At 37.7% G+C, this 17,101-nt stretch overlaps 1 protein-coding gene across 25 annotated transcripts in view; it reads left to right on the forward strand.

Annotated features, from left to right (window-relative positions):
* The window catches only part of NRG3 (neuregulin 3), a 1,111,986-nt gene that overhangs the window by 480,711 nt on the left and 614,174 nt on the right, over window positions 1-17,101 (forward strand). For all 25 annotated transcript variants that reach the window (NR_163251.1, XR_001747009.3, NR_163252.1 and 22 more), the window contains one exon: window positions 2,835-2,964. Coding sequence is in view for 21 of the 25 variants with exons in the window: in XM_017015573.3 (XP_016871062.1) it covers window positions 2,835-2,964 (130 nt within the window). In the remaining 4 variants the exon portion in view is untranslated. The remainder of the gene's footprint in view (window positions 1-2,834; window positions 2,965-17,101) is intronic.

Raw genomic sequence — 17,101 nt, forward strand, 5'->3', positions numbered from 1 at the left:
TATTGTCATTAAAAAGTTATAATAATGTTGTTTTCTTTGAATTCAGTAAAGTCATTGTGAAGGTTAAGCATGTGCATTTTAAATTAATTTGGAGATTCTTTAAGCTATGGAAATGGAAAGCCTCAGTACATGTTAAGCCTGATATCTGAGCTTTCCCACCCCAGACTTTTGCAGAGCCATTGACTTGGGTCTCTGATCCTCTGTAATGTGCTGATAGATGATAACATGATGGAGAAATCAGTTGGTAGAATGGGGCGGTAACCACTAGAGATAGCAGTTGTCAGATGGAAATTAATTGATTGTAATTGCTTTGCCATTGTATTGCACTTGAAGTCTGTAGCTTGTTAAAACCACTGATTATAAAATAAGGATCTCACTTTTTATGCTGTAGATTATGTTAATGAAAGCTGTTCTTAGAAGCATGATCAGTGAATATCAATAAATGGATAATAAGAAATTAAAGGAAAAGTTAACTAACTGATCATGAGTTAATATACTTCAGCAGCCAGAGTAGCAGTCAACTGTGCACCGTTTCATATTGAATTTTTTGCTCAGAGCTCTTGAATTTTAAATATTTCCCATAGAGAGATTGATTCTGTGTGACTGTTTATCACGTACTGTCTTGAATAACAGATCTTTTCTGTAGAGAATCTCCTGCAAGATGGAAAATGTGTGTGTTTTGCAGAGCCTTTATTTTGTGCCAAAGTATTAACAAGCAGATATTTTGAAATGGAAAACATAAGTTCCCATTGCAATACCAATAGTGGTTTATTTCAGTGCTCGTGGAATATGAGTAACATATGTGTGAGGGTCTGTGTGAATCTGAAGGCCTTGCTGTTGCAATCTTTATCAATATTATAAAAAGTATACTAAAATGATAACATAAATGTTAAATTATACTTCACTTTTTGCTGTACAAAATGCGTTAACTTTTATAAAATTATAATGAGGTTTTTAATTATAGCTTTCATTTATAGCATTTAATTGTTGATGTTAGAGAGATCAGAGATTTTGGAGATATTTTTCTGAACACCAGTTCTCATTAAGCCTCCATGCAGGCCCTCAAGGACCTTACAGAAGAAAGGAACAGATAAAACAAAGAAAGGATTACTTGCAGTGTTGAATGCAGTGATGAAAGTGATAAGAGGCACTGGGAGGCACAAGATGAGATCATCTAAGTTCTGAGGATTTCTGGGTGTCTTCAACAAAGAATGAAGGTCTGGGAAGAAGGAGCAGTGTGACAGTTCTTGGTATTTTGGGGAAATAGAATGATAGTTGAAAATTAAGTTGCATAAAGTTTTAGAGTGCAAGAAGAGACCAGACAGATAAACATATAGATGGCCCATGCCCTGGTTTGCCCTACTGTGGATTTTAAAGTTATTCCCACAGGAGAGCCCATGAGGATTTTTAGATGTGGGAGAGACAGGGGTGAGTTTCCTTTTAAACTGCTCGCTCACCATCAGTTGTGACGATAATCAGGGAAGAAGCTCATTGTGACCTTCATTTACTGTCTTAGTCCATTTTCTATTGCTTTAACTGAATACCCGAAGCTAGGTAATTTATAAAGAAAATACATTTATTTTTTGCAGTTTTGGAGGCTGGGAAGTCTAAGGTCAAGGGGCTGCATCTGCTGAGGGCATTCTTGCTGGCAAGGACTCTGCAAGCCCTGAGGCAGTGCAGGGCATCACATGGATAGGGAGTAAGAGCATGTCAACTCAGTCCTTCTTTCTCTTCTTGAACAGCCAACAGTTCCATCATGGGGGCCTCACCCTGATGACCTTATCCATTCCTGATTACCTCCCAAAGGGCCCCATCTTCAAATATCATCAACATATGATTTTGAGGATTAATTTTCCAACACATGGAATTTGGGAGACACATTAAAACAAGAGCGGTTAATAAGCTGGTATAATATCCCATGCTTGAATATTATTATTAATCTAAATCTCTGTAAAGGAAATTAAAAGCTTAAGCATTGAATAATTTTTTCTTCTTTGACTTTTTAAGTATATTTTTTGTTGAATGTTGTGGTGGAATTGGAGCTAATAGTTGCTTAAAACTCTGTAATTGGAACAATGTCTACATGTGGTAATAGAGTCTGTATCTTATAGATAGCACTTATTTATTGTTATTCTCATATTTGGGATGCAGATATTGATGTATAACTTAATTTGAAAATGTAAGTAATTATGATTTTAAGAATGCATGTTTAAGATATGCTAAAAAATGGCAATAATTGGTCCTGTTAAATATTTACCAGAAACATTCTTCATATTTGAGAATCTGTTTCAGAATTTAGAACATTTGCATTTTAATTACATAATAAAAGGAGAAAGTGAAAGAATAATTGGCTTAGCTATTAGCCAATTATAGCTGTAACTGAAAAAAAAATCCCCCAAACTGACATTGGATTCCACAGAACAGTCACAATATACATTGATCAGATGTTTAATTATATTTGGCAGCAATAAAGGGAAGGGAATGTTGTTTCAATCCTTCATACAACATGTTTGTTAAAACTGAAATTAATGAGGGTGGATTTGGGGTGTTTGACTTAGGATCATTCAGCTTTTAGTGTTTACTTGTCCACAAATGGGGCTTCTCCAGAGTGACTCCAATAGATAAAATTTAGTGGAGAAATAAGACAATTGAATATAGTGGTTACAGCCAGCTGCATTTGGTCAGTACCAAGGAGGGTTGGAGCTGTCTGTCTAGAGTCCCAGAGGTCAGAGCCCATGAGAAGGCCTCCATACAGAGATCCAGAGCCAGTGACAGGAGTTGTTGGTGTCAGAATGTACTGCTGACAGCGTTTCCCCCTGTGCTTTCCCTGACAGATACGACGACATATTCCACAGAGCGATCCGAGCACTTCAAACCCTGCCGAGACAAGGACCTTGCATACTGTCTCAATGATGGCGAGTGCTTTGTGATCGAAACCCTGACCGGATCCCATAAACACTGTCGGTAAGCCACTGAGGCCACTGATGGAAAGGGCAGGCCCGTTGCAAGGCGTGGGGGTGGAGGGTGCTGGCAGCATCTGGTATGTGTCATATCCGGGATACACACAGTCCCACCGTTTGAATAGCAGAATTGCGAGTCTTAATTTGGAAAGGGCAAGGCTGCTGCCTCTTTAACAGTGGAAGAAGACAAAATGGAAACAAAGTAGTTACGGTTTAAGTTTTACCTGACCAAGCAAACAAAGATTTACTTTTAGATCTGCAAAGTTAATGGAAATAATTATTTACACACTTTAGAAGCGTCTGTTTATGATGTGGAGCTTAGGCATATATCCTAGTACTCAGAAATAATCTGTTCTTGAGAACCTACAGACTGTGGCAGGAGAAGCAAACTGCTCATCTAAGATCTAGAATCTCAGTGTTTATTGTGAACCAACCCCAGAGACTTGAACTGTGTCCAGAGAGAACTGCATTTTATTTTGTTTCTGCCTTCCTTTATTAATTTCAGTACTTTTTCTTAACACCTCTGATGAAACACTCTCCAGCAAGAAGTTGTAAATGAAATAGTAGTCCTGTTATAGTCTAGGTAGAGAACTACTTGGGGAAAACTCCCAGTAGAGATCAGGAAGGTGTTTAATTGGTTTTTAGAGACATAAGGTTATGTAACTGCTAAAAATAAAAACAAGGGGGGATAAAGAGTGCACTTATAGACACTGTGGCTTTAAGACTCAATAGAAGAATCAAATTAACATCTGAAAAATATTTCTTACCAAGCTTTCATTTCCAGTATTACCCTGGTAATTTGTTTTTCTTTGCAATTGTGTATGCATCAGTGATCATATATATCCACACCCCTTTTCTTCTCTTTATTTACTCTTCTCGTATGACACAGTTATTAAATTAATTATTCTGAATAGTGAGGCATGGAAAATTATGACTTTTTTCTATTACTATTATAAAACTCTATTCCCATGTTGTTTCACTAAGATGGTGTAGAGAAATGCATTGTATAGTTATGAACTTAGAACATGCCATGCCAGCAGAAGCTGCCTGGATCCAAGAGCCAGGTTTAGTCCACAGGGAAGATGTATTGCCACACTGAGCAATGGCACAGGTTTGGAAGAACAGATACGTGATATAGTAGGAGGGCTCTGTAAAAGTTACCATATGTCCTGTGTCAGGACAAATAGAACTGTGACCTTTCCTCACCCCTGACATGTGGTGTTCATATATGACTTTGGCAGTGCCGCTGCATTCACCCTAGTTACAAAATTTGCACCCTATTCCTATGCTCTGCAAACCTGGGTTGGGGAAGAAGGGGAGTGGGGATTGTTTCTCTCCACACTCCTCCTCTCTCATATTTATTGTGACTGTGCATGTATGGATACAAAGCACACAAGTGACATTAAGACCTTAAGGGAAAATCCAGGAATGAGCTACTCCTTCAAAGCGTGATGTGCATGCAAGCTCTTTTAGATCCTCAACCATGTTACAGTGGCCAATCTAATGGGATAATCATTTGGAAGTGGCCAATGCAATCAATTATGTTTGAATTCGTAATCAATTGAAGAAGGGATGAATCAGAAGCATTAGCTAAAGTAGTGGCTTTCTTTGATGGTGTTTTACCAAGAGGAGGAATCAGATCAGGTCCCACCACAGTATGCAGGCTGAGATGATTCATCTTTTCCAAAAACTGAGACTATCAGGAGAACAAAGTAATTCTTCTTTTTCTGCATATGGCTATGCTGTATTCTTCATTACTTCATGAGTGTATGAATTTGCTAGGACTGCTGTTACAAAGTGCTACAGACTGGGTGGCTTCACTATGGAAATTTACTTTCTCACAGTCCCGGAGGTCAGAATTCCAAGATCAAGGTGTCAGCAGAGTTGATTCCTTTTGAGGCCTCCCTCCTTGACTTATAGATGGTCAAGGAGATGTACCTTATTATGTTTCCTCTGTAGGTGTTTGTGTTCAGAGTTGATTCCTTTTGAGGCCTCCCTCCTTGACTTATAGATGGTCAAGGAGATGTATCTTCTCATCATGTTTCCTCTGTAGGTGTGTGTGTTCCAAATTTCCTCTAAGGACATCAGCCATATTAGATTAGATCACATCCTCATTACCTTATTTTAACTTCATTACTTCTGTGAAGACCTTTCTCCAAATATGATCACATTCTGAGGAACTGGAGTTTACTTCATGTAGGGATTTTATATTTTTGTAGATAAATTCAGTCCATAACAATGAGTCTCATGTCCATAAAAGAAAAATCCTTTGCTTTTGTGAGATGCATGTACATCTCTAATTTTTGTAACACACATAAGCAGATATATACCTATAGTTTAAGTGAAATGATGTACATATTTAATAATTTTGGCCTTCTGTCTTCATATTTCTTGCATATTTCAGTACAGACAGCCTGTTATTTAACATAGACTCACAACATAGCTAATCATGACAAAAGACTAGCCTAAGACAAAATTGGAACTCGAGTAGGTTAATAGATGCCTATAAATCTCCTACTGGTGTGTATGAATAAATCACACATCACATGTGCCTGCTATTCATCTCTCAAGCTTTGCTGTGAATAAAAGGCTTACATTTGTTCCTGCATCAGCCACTTCTAAAAATTCCAATGTAGTTATTAATAAAGTGCCATTTTGTACAGCACTCTATTTAAGTAGTATGTTTCAGTCATACTCCTATTCAACAAATGTTTACTGAGCACCTCCTATCACTAAGATACTATTGAATAAATACATACAGAAATGAATTTAAAAATTAAATGTCACAGTGCTTTGTAATGTGTTTGGAGTAAGAAAAATACTTCATCGTTAGGAAATTTTAAAAAGCAAAATACTTCAGTGACTGACATGCTACCAGGAGTATGTTTATGACATAGTAGTTACTGGATTTTGTTTCAAGTTAAATAAGATGCCATTTAATAGATCTGAGCAGCAATATAAAGGCTTATGCATGACCCTGGCTTATTCAATAGTTTATTTTTTTGTGTCTCAAAAGATTAGACATCTAAATCTGAAAGAAATTAAAATTATATTTCCTAGATTAAAAAAAATTGTAATCCTATAATAAACTGCATCAAATATTTTTCTGTGTTGTGAAAATAGACCATGCTCTGACACATTTCTGTTTTCTTCTCAAGGAACGATAAGAACACAATTACCAAACTATTCGTGATAGAAATCCTGAAAGTACATGCAAAAAAAAAAAAAAAAAAAAAAAAAAAAAAGGACAATAATAATCCCAGAAAAGGGAGGAGTTGAAAGTGGGGGACATGTTTGTTTCTTCATAATTTTCTTATTCCAGTTCTTCAAGAAACACTTGTGGTACCAGTACTTAGAAATTATAAAGCAATTTAATTAAAAAAAAAAAACTTGACAGAAGGATTTTTAAAGAACAAGAAATAGAGAAAATAGATTTTCCTAAATTCAAAATATAATGTGTATATATATATGTGTGTGTGTGTGTGTGTGTGTGTGTGTGTGTGTGTGTGTGTGTATTTTATTTTTCTGAGAGGGACCCTTGCTCTGTCACTCAGGTTGGAGCACAGTGGTATGATCTTGGCTCACTGCAGCCTCAATCTCCTGAGCTCAGGCCATTCTCCCTACACAGCCTTCTGAGTAGCTGGGACTACAGGTGCTCACCACCATGCCCAGATAATTTCTGGGTTTTTTTTTTTTTTTTTTTTTCGTAGAAATGGGGCCTCACTAGGTTGCCCAGGCTGGTCTCCAACTCCTGGACTTAAGTGATCCTCCTGCCTCAGCTTCCTAAAATGTTGGGATTACAGGTGTGAGTTACTATGCCCAGCCTGAAAATATAAAGCCACAGATTATCCACAGGCTAATTAGTGAAAACAGATTGTGGTATATTGTGGGACTTAGTATAGAACAAGGCTTGATTCATAAACCAGAGGAAAATGAGAGACTGATTGTTCAATAAATGATTGACTATCAGGTAAATAGAATCAGAAGTGTATGTTGACCCCTCTTTCTATACCAAAAGTATACTAATGATTTCAAAAGTTAATGTAATAAACAAATAAAGCCTAAGGAAAATAATAAGTAAAATTACATGTTTATTTATGTTCAGCAATTGTAAGGACCTTGTGAGCAAATAAAAGCAATGGAAGGCAAAAATTAACAACTTTGACACAGCATTTTTTTATCTGAATATCATAAATCAGAAACAAAATTAAAAGACAAACTGTGAGGAAACCGAATAACAAATATGGCAAAGAATTAAAACCCTGAAGAAGTCATGTAGATCAAAGGGTAACATTAAAATAAAAGCTCAATAGGGAAATTGACAAAGGGGAGGAACATAATCTATCTAAAAAGAAATACAGATAACCAGCAAACAAATATACTCAGCCTCACAGAGAAATGCAAATTAGGTGTTTTTTTCCTATCCTTTATTTAAAGATTTTTAAAAGTGACTACTATACCCAGTTTGGTAAGGGGGCTGTGAAAACACGTGTCCACAAATACTACTTGAGGGAGTGCACTTTGTTAAATATTTTTTGTAGGTAATATTTTAGTATGTTTTAAAAGCCTTATACTGTTTTTTGTTTGTTTGTTTGTTTGTTTGTTTTTTGAGACGGAGTCTCGCTCTGTCACCCAGGCTGGAGTGCGGTGGCGTGATCTAGGCTCACTGCAAACTCCGCTTCCCAGGTTCACGCCATTCTCCTGCCTCAGCCTCCCTGGTAGCTGGGACTACAGGCACCTGCCACCACACCTGGCTGATTTTTTGTAGTTTTTTAGTAGAGACGGGGTTTCACTGTGTTAGCCAGGATGGTCTCAATCTCCTGACCTCGTGATCCACCCACCTCAGCCTCCCAAAGTGCTGGGATTACAGGCGTGAGCCACCACACCTGGCCCATAGACATGCTTGTGAATATTTATTTGTAGGGATGCTCACCACATTTTTATCTGTAATAGCAAAAATTTTTAACAAGTATGAATTATGAATTTAAATGTCTATATAAATTAGAATATATTTGTACATTGAATGAATTTTCACAGTGTTTTGAGGATATCCAATGGTCACTATGTCATGTTAGGTATAAAAATGTAATATGAAATTGCAAACTTGAACATATAGTAGAATCCTAATTCTGAAAAAAAAACTAAAAAGGTTGATAGTTTACAACTATTTCCTTCTTTCAACTTGGCAAATTTTCTAACATCTCTATATTACACATATATTTCATTTATGTAACACCCGGTTAAGAGAGTTGACTCCTGCCTCTAGTCTTTCCATTAAGAAATATAGATAGTGTCCTTGTCTCTTTAAAATCAAGGTCATTATAATTCACTATTATTGAGCTGATAAGAGAACTTTCAATTAAGTGCTTCCAGATTAAGCACTACTAAGTCTATTTGAATGTGTCTGCTCCTTCTTTTATTAATAATTCATTGATACTTTTTATAATAATTCTTTTTCATGTTGAAATCATGTTTTGAAAACATTAAAAACATTGGATTTAATAAAAGGTAGATACACCCCATAGAAATGAAGCTGGATGAAGAAGGAAAATAAGTCAGCAGAAACACTTTGAATCAAAATATTCTGAATAAAATCAGAATATTCTATGATCTTTTCATTTTTATGCCATTTCTAGAAATTTTAAAAATGTTGGCAATGGTGCTATGTATAATATACTGCACTAGATTGAAAAGAGGTAGCCACTGTAATTGAAAAGATTGCTACACATTTGAATGGACCAAATGTGTTTTAAGACCAAATTCAAGTAAAAAGGATGTGTCTCTTCTGAACTGAAGCTCATTAAATGTTTCACCGGCCTTCCTGCAAAAATGGATTTTCAAAACTTTGGAAAGGATAGCATTTAAGCTGAATTTGACCTGTATTGACCATTTTGGAAATCAGCCAAGCAATTCGCTTGAAGATACTTGAAGCACTTGAAATATGGAATTGCTGGAAAAAGAATAAGACAGCCCAATAGCTACCATTGCCCAGGGTGATACTTTGGTAACAGGACTGATGGCTTGTATAACAATCTGACATGCTGATAGGAGTTGGGGAGTGGGGGCAGCCATTGGGAAGGGCAAAGGGAACCCTAAGAGTAGTTTTTTCTCCCTATTATGACTGGCTGTCTCTGAGTAGGTTTTGAAATAAAAGCTTCCATTTTTAAGAGAATTGATTGGTCATTGCGTAACGACAATTCTACGATATAACAGGACCATCCCAGTTAGTGCTTTGCCCTGTCACTTTGGAGGTCCATTAGCTCTTCCATTCAGTGAGGGTCCTCTATATCAAATGGTTCTCCAGTAAGTGCTCTGAGAGCAGCAGCTAATGATTCCCTGTGGTTGAAGCAAGTCAGAATGAAAATGGAGTTTTGGCACACATCCCTGAATTCCATCGACAGGAGGGAATGAAGGCTAAAATATCTATAAATCCAGGCCAGGCTGCAGAGTCACTGCAGATTCCCTGCAGAGTGGTGTTAATAACAAGGTGAAGAACCTTAGAAGAATTTGCAAGTTCATCAAAGAAGTGTTCATGGGAATGATTGCCATAGCCCAGACATAATTTAAGTAATTTGCAATAGCCATATTGATAACAGGTGGTCTACCGATTGCTTTTGACAAGAGGAAATGAAGAAAGTTATAATTATTCTTCCTCTCTGTGGACATAGCTTGTCATGATAGTCTTAGAAACTCGGAAAGCAAGCAAACCAACAACACAATGAATGTTATTTTGTAATTCCATGACACTTAAGCAGTGGTTTACCTCTTCTAATTCGACCTCTTTGTATTAAAATTAGTTGGCAGTTAGTACATTGCTTTGGATATGGATATTTAAGTATCATGCAAAAAAACAAAAAAGCACATTCAACCAACACATCATTTAGTTATTAGCCAAAGATTACTTTATTTTAATGTTTTCTTCTGTGATTGGAATTTAGTTATTAGCCAAAGATTACTTTATTTTAATGTTTTCTTCTGTGATTGGAATTTAGTTATTAGCCAAAGATTACCTTATTTTAATGTTTTCTTCTGTGATTAGTGGCTCTATCTGAAGCAGGAAATGGTGTTTTTTAAGGAGGTCATTATGACTTGGGTTTGCTTTTGTATCCAAGAATTGACACAAATTTGTTTATTTAAAATACCTTCCCTGTGTGAGTTGGGGTAAGACATACAAGAGGCAAATGTGAGTGTTCAAAGCTGAGAGACCTGAGTTCAAAGTCCTACTCAGCTTTCTACTAACTCTGATTTTTTGCAAGTCATTTAATCAGAACCTTCAATATTTAATTTTTTTAAGATAGTCTAATAGTTGCCCCAAAAGGCCAATGAAAGAATTGAAAGCAACATATAGAAAACTATGACTGTGAAATAGATACTATGTATATATATGATAGCTCTTTCCTCTCTCCTTTATGCTCATATTGAAGCCAAGGAAAAGCATATTTCAAGAATCCCGTGAGAGAAATTGTACCAGTATCATCTGCCTTATTTAATTAACAGGAGACTTCGGTTTAAAAGTGGGGAGGGGCATGCCAGAGAATTCCTGTCTACTGTATATTCTCAGGACTCAGAATTCCTATCGCTAATTTTAATACTTTGACAAATTAGCAATTTTCTATTATTTGTTACATTCTGCAAGCATTTCTTGATTTTTCCCTCATTGCTTTTCTTAACGACTCTTCATGGGTTTAAAGGAAATATTATTTTTCCTTTCCTACTTAATCAGCGTAACGGGCCATAATTGTGTCAATAACATGAAATTGTTGTCGATTTTGCAATTTTGTGACACAATACAATAGGCTGTTGACTTTTTTATTTTTTTATTTTTTTTGCAGAAAAGAAAAATACACTTTCATGTGAAAATGTACACACTGAAAATTATAGATTTTACTTGTGGAAAATATATGATTCAAGAAAAATGAAGTGATTTACTTTTTTCTTAATTCTTTCCCAAAATAGTTTTCTGAAAGTTTAGCTATCTGTATACTTCAGTGTTTAAAATATGTAGGCACTAAAATTCTTAATGGCATAAAATAAAAATAATCTGCTTTACGAAAGCCTACAGAAAATAATTTAAAAGGAACATTTTTTAAACGCAGGATATGTTAGCAGCGAATATGGAACCCAAGATAAGCAAGGCGTGTTCGACTCTACCTAGACAGTGTCAGATCTCTGGCAGTTAGTACATTGCTTTGGATATGTAGCTTTTAGCTGCTCTCCTTTGTAAGTTTTAAGACCAGGCTTGTTTATGTATAACTATTCAATGTCATACACACACGGAGACGTGCACACACTCTTTTTGTTTGCTCCCATGATGATTTATTTACCAGCTGTAAAATGGGGATGATGATAACTGTCCTTCCTGGCAGTCATTGGACCATAATATATGTGAATGTCAATTGGAAGTTGTAAAATGCCATATAAATGCAAGATATTGTAGCTATGCAAAACCTAAAATTACCTAATTGATTTTGGTCTGTCCCTTAACCCTTATAATGAGAGTGCTAGCAACTAAAACACCTTGAAAATTACTGGAGTGTTTTTATAGCCAATAGACTCCAGAATTTATATAGCACTTAGAACTTTATCAAACTTTCTTTGTACTAGTCTGATTATTTAAAGAAGATCTCACTATATAATGATGTCTTTAAAATATTTAATTTTAAAAAGATAAAAATCTTTTTAAAAGATAAATATTTTTTAAAGATAAATAAGAATATTTTTATTTCCTTGCAGACTCTTTAAAAAGTGTTGTCTTTTTGTCTTCTGTTTTTCCTAATAATTCTTATTTGGTCTGGCTGGTTGGATTCAATGCTCCACTGCTACTAGCAGACAAATTATACATATTCTTGACCGAACGTGGTGGCTCACGCTTGTAATCCCAGAACTTAGGAGGCTGAGGTGGGCAGATCACATGACCTTGGGAGTTCAAGACCAGCCTGGCCAACGTGGCAAAACCCAGTCTCCACTAAAAATACAAAATATTAGCCAGGTGTGGTGATGCATGCCTGTAATCTCAGCTACTTGGGAAGCTGAGGCACAAGAGTCACTTGAACCTAGAAGGTGGAACTTTCAAGGATGCAATAAGCCGAGATCATACCACTGCACTCCAGCCTAGGTGACAGAGTGAGACTCCATCTCTAAATAAATAAATAAGTAAATAAATAAATAAATAAAACATATTCTCTGTGATTCAGTTTTCTTATCTGTGAAGTGGGAAAAACAATATTACTACTTCCCAGGATTATTTGAGGCTTGATATAGGTAAAGTTGAGATGCCTGGTATTGAGTAAACACAGGGAATTTGGGGTAAGTCCAGTATAATATAGTAAGTTACAGGTATTGTTACTTTATCTGCACAGCTTTGTTGACAGGTCAGTGTACTTGTGTCAGAACTTCTTGATAGGTACTCAGAGTCTCCCAGCACAGTGAGTCTTGTGCAGAGAGTTCAATTTAGATCCACTAATGGGAATAAAAGAGAACAGGCACAGATACATTATTTAAAAACACAATAATACCAGATCGTGCACAAGAACACATTTTAGAATCAAGGATCATTGTAATTATTCAAGTAGTAAACTTAAAAGACAGGCAGAAATAGGAGGCCACCTTTTGTTAGGGGAATGCTCCCTTTTGACAGTTCCTGAAGAAAAAACATGGGAAAAACACTCCTTACCACCTACAGTTTAGGCCATTCCTGCTGTTGACCCTTCAGATGTGTCCCCGAACTGCCTCACCAGGCACCTGCTTCCTGCCTGAGAGTTTCACTATCTTGTGAGGGATGGGACAGTCTGGAAGCTTCTCCCATGCAGACAGAGCAGAGAGAGAATTATGCAATATTTTGTATCCCAGATAAAATTATATAGTTTAAGTGGATTATGGATTATTTCACCAAATTTATTTTAAAAATTAAGAACATATCCATAAATATTATTTTAGCCAGAGATGATCTATCAGTACAAATGTGAACAGTAACCTTGGTACCACAGGCCCCGCCGTGCAAGCTTCTTGGGTAAATATTTCAATAAAACCTTCTCAAAACAGGATAAAGATGGCTCAGCTGTTCTGTGGACTCTGCCGAGGCAATGAGGGAATTTGCCGTGTCCTTCTGTGGTCTGCCCATCTCTGGGGCTACTGAAAGGATTCTTCCTCCAACCTAAGTTTCACAGCATCAGGCAGCACTTCTGGGTTCCTGAGCATGCTATTTCTTTCCAAATCACTTTTGTCTGATCATCATTTACAAACATAAAAGATGGCTTAAGGGCCAAATCACAATTTTTATGCGTAAACCAAAATGTCAGTGTTTGTGTACCAGACTAGGGAGGCTGACACCAGGTTCTACATGCTTCGCCTCCCCACTAAACTCTCTCCTTTATTGTCCCAGTGGTTCAGGAATTCAAACTGCTTCAAAATAAGACATTTAAACTCTGGCTTTATGTACTCTACTTATTTTTAGAGATAGGTTCTTGCTCTATTGCTTAGGTTGCAGTGCACTGGTACAGTCATGGCTCACTGCAGCCTTGACCTCCTGGGCTCAAGTGATCCTCCTTCCTCAGCCTCCCAAGTCACTGGGACTACAAGTGCACACCATCATGCCTGGCTAATTTTTTAAAGTTTTTGTACTGGTGGGGTCTCAGTATGTGGCCCAGGCTGGTCACAAACTCCTGGCCACAAGTGATCCTCCTTCCTTGGCTTCCCAAAGTGCTGGGATTATAGGTGTAAACCACGGTGCCTGGCTTAGCTCCCAAAACTTTTCAGGCATAATGGGAAATTTTAATAACTTTCTCTGTAAAATAAGCATAATCCAAGGATGTTCCATGATGAGTATGACATATACTTGACCTAATTATAATTTGATTACACTCAAATTCATAGAAAAGCAAGACTATCATATACTATGTGGATTTTTCTTAATGTAACTTTCACCAGAATGTACAACCTCTGTATTGTTATCCCCACTTTGCAGAAATCAGCTGTGAGTTTCCTGAGTCACTCAGTGCTAGCAGGCTTTGGATGATAATGAAACGAGAGAGTTCCCTGACATATGACAGGGGTGTGGCTCACCTGTTTTTGGTCGTCCCCCAGCTGAAACCCCTGAAGGAGGGGAAGCATGCAGAAGGGCAGTGCAGAGGCGGGGGCAGGTGCTTTGGCTCCACAGTGGTGTCTGGAGGTGGATACCTGCAACCCTCCACGTTACAAAGCTCTTTCAGTTTTGCCATCTGCAGATGGCTTGAGTGTTAATCAGCTCAGTGGACCCTCTGCTTTATCGCAAGGGCAGGGGGCCAGTGTGACAGCCTTCTGTATCCCAAGCTCTTGCCCAGTGGCTCAGAAGAATTGGATCACATGCAGGCTGGAAGGATGAGTGCAAGGTTTTGTTGAGTGGTGGAGGTGGCTCTCAGCGAGATGATGAGGAGCTGAAAGTGGGGATGGAGTGGGAAGGTGATATTCCCCTGGAGTGGGGCTGCCCAGTGGCCAGCCTCCTCCAGTCACCCCCTGCTGAACTCCCCTCAGCATCCAGACATCCCTCCTCTTCTCTTTCTCTGCCGCGTCGTTCTGCCATTGCTGATCTGCTGGTCTGCCCTGGAGCTTGTGGTTCAGGGTTTATATGGGGGCAGGATAGGGGAATGGAAAGCCAAAAGGCAACTTTTTGGGCATGAAAACAGAAATGCCTATTCTTATTCAGGGATGCGGGCATCTAGGCTTAAAGGTGGGGCCTTTGCCAGGGAACCACCCTCTTCAACCCAGTATTTTCCCATTTCCTGTCCGTATCAATAAGGTAGAAGAGAGCGCCCTAAAACCCATTCTTTTCACTGTATCCCAACTCTGTGTCAGTGCACGTTAACATCCAACTACTCTTTTATTTCGTTACCTATGTACCTACGTATTACTTGAGAAAACTAAAAAATTGACAGAAGGGCCAAGCATTCCTTGTTTTATAGAAAAAAGCCAAAGACAGTGTTTCCAGAGTTTATCTCAGAGTAAATCTCTAAAAATATGTTTATTTTTTTAATGCTCACAGCGATTCTGGTGGCTTTATGAATATCAGGAAAATATTTCTACTAAAGGCAGCTTAAAATCCACCTTACAAACACACACACACACACACACACACACATTCACACACATGCATATACACACAGTCTGTTTACTAGGTATCTGGCATCATGCAAGACACTGAGGTTCAGTGGCAAATGAGACCAAAAGTTCCTTCTTGTCAATAACTTGCTATAAGAGCACTGGGAAGCCAACAGAATCTAGTGTGGAAGGGAACACAATGGGCAGATTCTGACCATACTGGGCAGTGAAGCTCATATTTGGGATTATAGGGAAACGCATTCTAGGCTGGTAAACTGAGGGAAAATATCTTCCTCAACTATATAAAATCCCTCATGCAAGTTTTATCAAATGAGAAATTAAGGATAAAGTGAAAGGAATAAAAAAGATGAGAGCATTACACCTGGTTTGGGGAATATGTTTTTAGAAATATACATGCCATATGTGAGGCTATAGAATGGCACTTTTTGTTCTATTTTATGTACACTCAGAAGTAAATGACAATTTAATACATTCTTTTATCATTCTGCCAATGTTTATTAAGCATTTTCAATGTTCCGAGTCCACTGTAAAGTGGTAAGAATATAGTGATGAATGTTCTCAGAAAAACTCATAAGAGAGGGGTTGAGTTGGATATTTTCTACTTCAATTCAATATGACAAGTTCTGTGATAGATATGAGCTATGCTCATATCTGTTTTGTGTTGCTGTAAAGGAATACCTGAGGCTGGGTAATTTATAAAGAAAAAAAAGGTTTCTTTGGCTCATGATTCTGATAGTTGGGAGGTTCATGATTGGGCATCTGCATTTGGTGAAGGTCTCAGGGTGCTTCCACTCCTGGAGGAAGGTGAAGGGGAGCATTATGTGCAGAGATCACACAAGGAAAGAGGGAACCAGTGGTGAGGTGCCAGGCTTTTTTCAACACACAGTTCTCTTGGGAACTAAAGAATGAGAGCGCACTCTCCTCTGAGGGAAGGCATCAATCTGTTAATGAGACATCTGCTCTCATGACTCAAATACCTCCCAATAGGCCCCTCCTCCCAACACCCCCACAATGGGGGTCTAATTTCAACATGAGAGTATGTGGGGACAAACAAACCATATCCAAATCATAGCACTCATATGTACATAGAAGATTCCAAAAATCAGTGCTCATGAAGCCAGGACGGGCTTCAGAGAGGAGATAACACATTAATTTGCATTTGGAAAGATAAGAGCCTTTTTATTTCTCATTTGGAAGCCTACTCTTGCTGGCCAACAAAGGCTTGGAGAGTTGAGCTGCTATTGGAGAAGTTTCTCTTTAAATCCAAGAGGGAGGGAAATTTCAAAATTACTTTAGATGCAATTAGAAGTAATCAGCTTCATGTCATAAATTTTTGATGCAATTGGTCCCTTCCTTTCTGGATTATTTTTTCTCTCATGTCCAGATGGTTCTCACAAACATATCAGAAGATGATGACATTTTTAATTTCTTTCACTCAAGCTCTGAATTTATCTGAATGGAAAGTATAGAGAAGAGTGCGATTCTTCAAGCCTAACAAGTATATCACACTGATTAAATTATGAAATTAAGATTTTTTAAATTCAAAATTAATGTATAACTTTTATCTACATATTTGAGATATTCACAAAGACAATTTTATTGTTCCAATCAAAAATTAATTGTATTAACATTTTATTATTCATGTATTTATTTATCCTGAGAGTCTTGCTGTGTTGCCCAGGCCAGAGTACAGTGGGGCAATTTTGGCTCACTGCAACCTCCACCTCCCTGGGTCAAGCAATTCTCCTGCCTCAGCCTCCCACCTAGCTGAGATTACAGGCATGCACCACCATGCTCAGCTAATTGTAGTATTTTTAGTAAAGACAGGGTTTCGCCATGTTGGCCAGGCTGGTCTCAAACTCCAGGCCTCAAGGGATCCACTCACCTTGGCCTCCCTAAGTGCTGGGATTACGGGCATGCGCCACCACACCTGGCCTGTATTAGCATTTTAGATGTAGGAAATGATTTTTCAGTTCTAAAATTTTCCTAAAGAATTAAACATATCCACTTAAGGATGCGTTGACCACTGATCATTGTTGAATAATGAA

The sequence above is a fragment of the Homo sapiens genome, chromosome 10, assembly GCF_000001405.40.
Source record: "Homo sapiens chromosome 10, GRCh38.p14 Primary Assembly".
NCBI classification, from domain to species: Eukaryota; Metazoa; Chordata; class Mammalia; order Primates; family Hominidae; genus Homo; species Homo sapiens.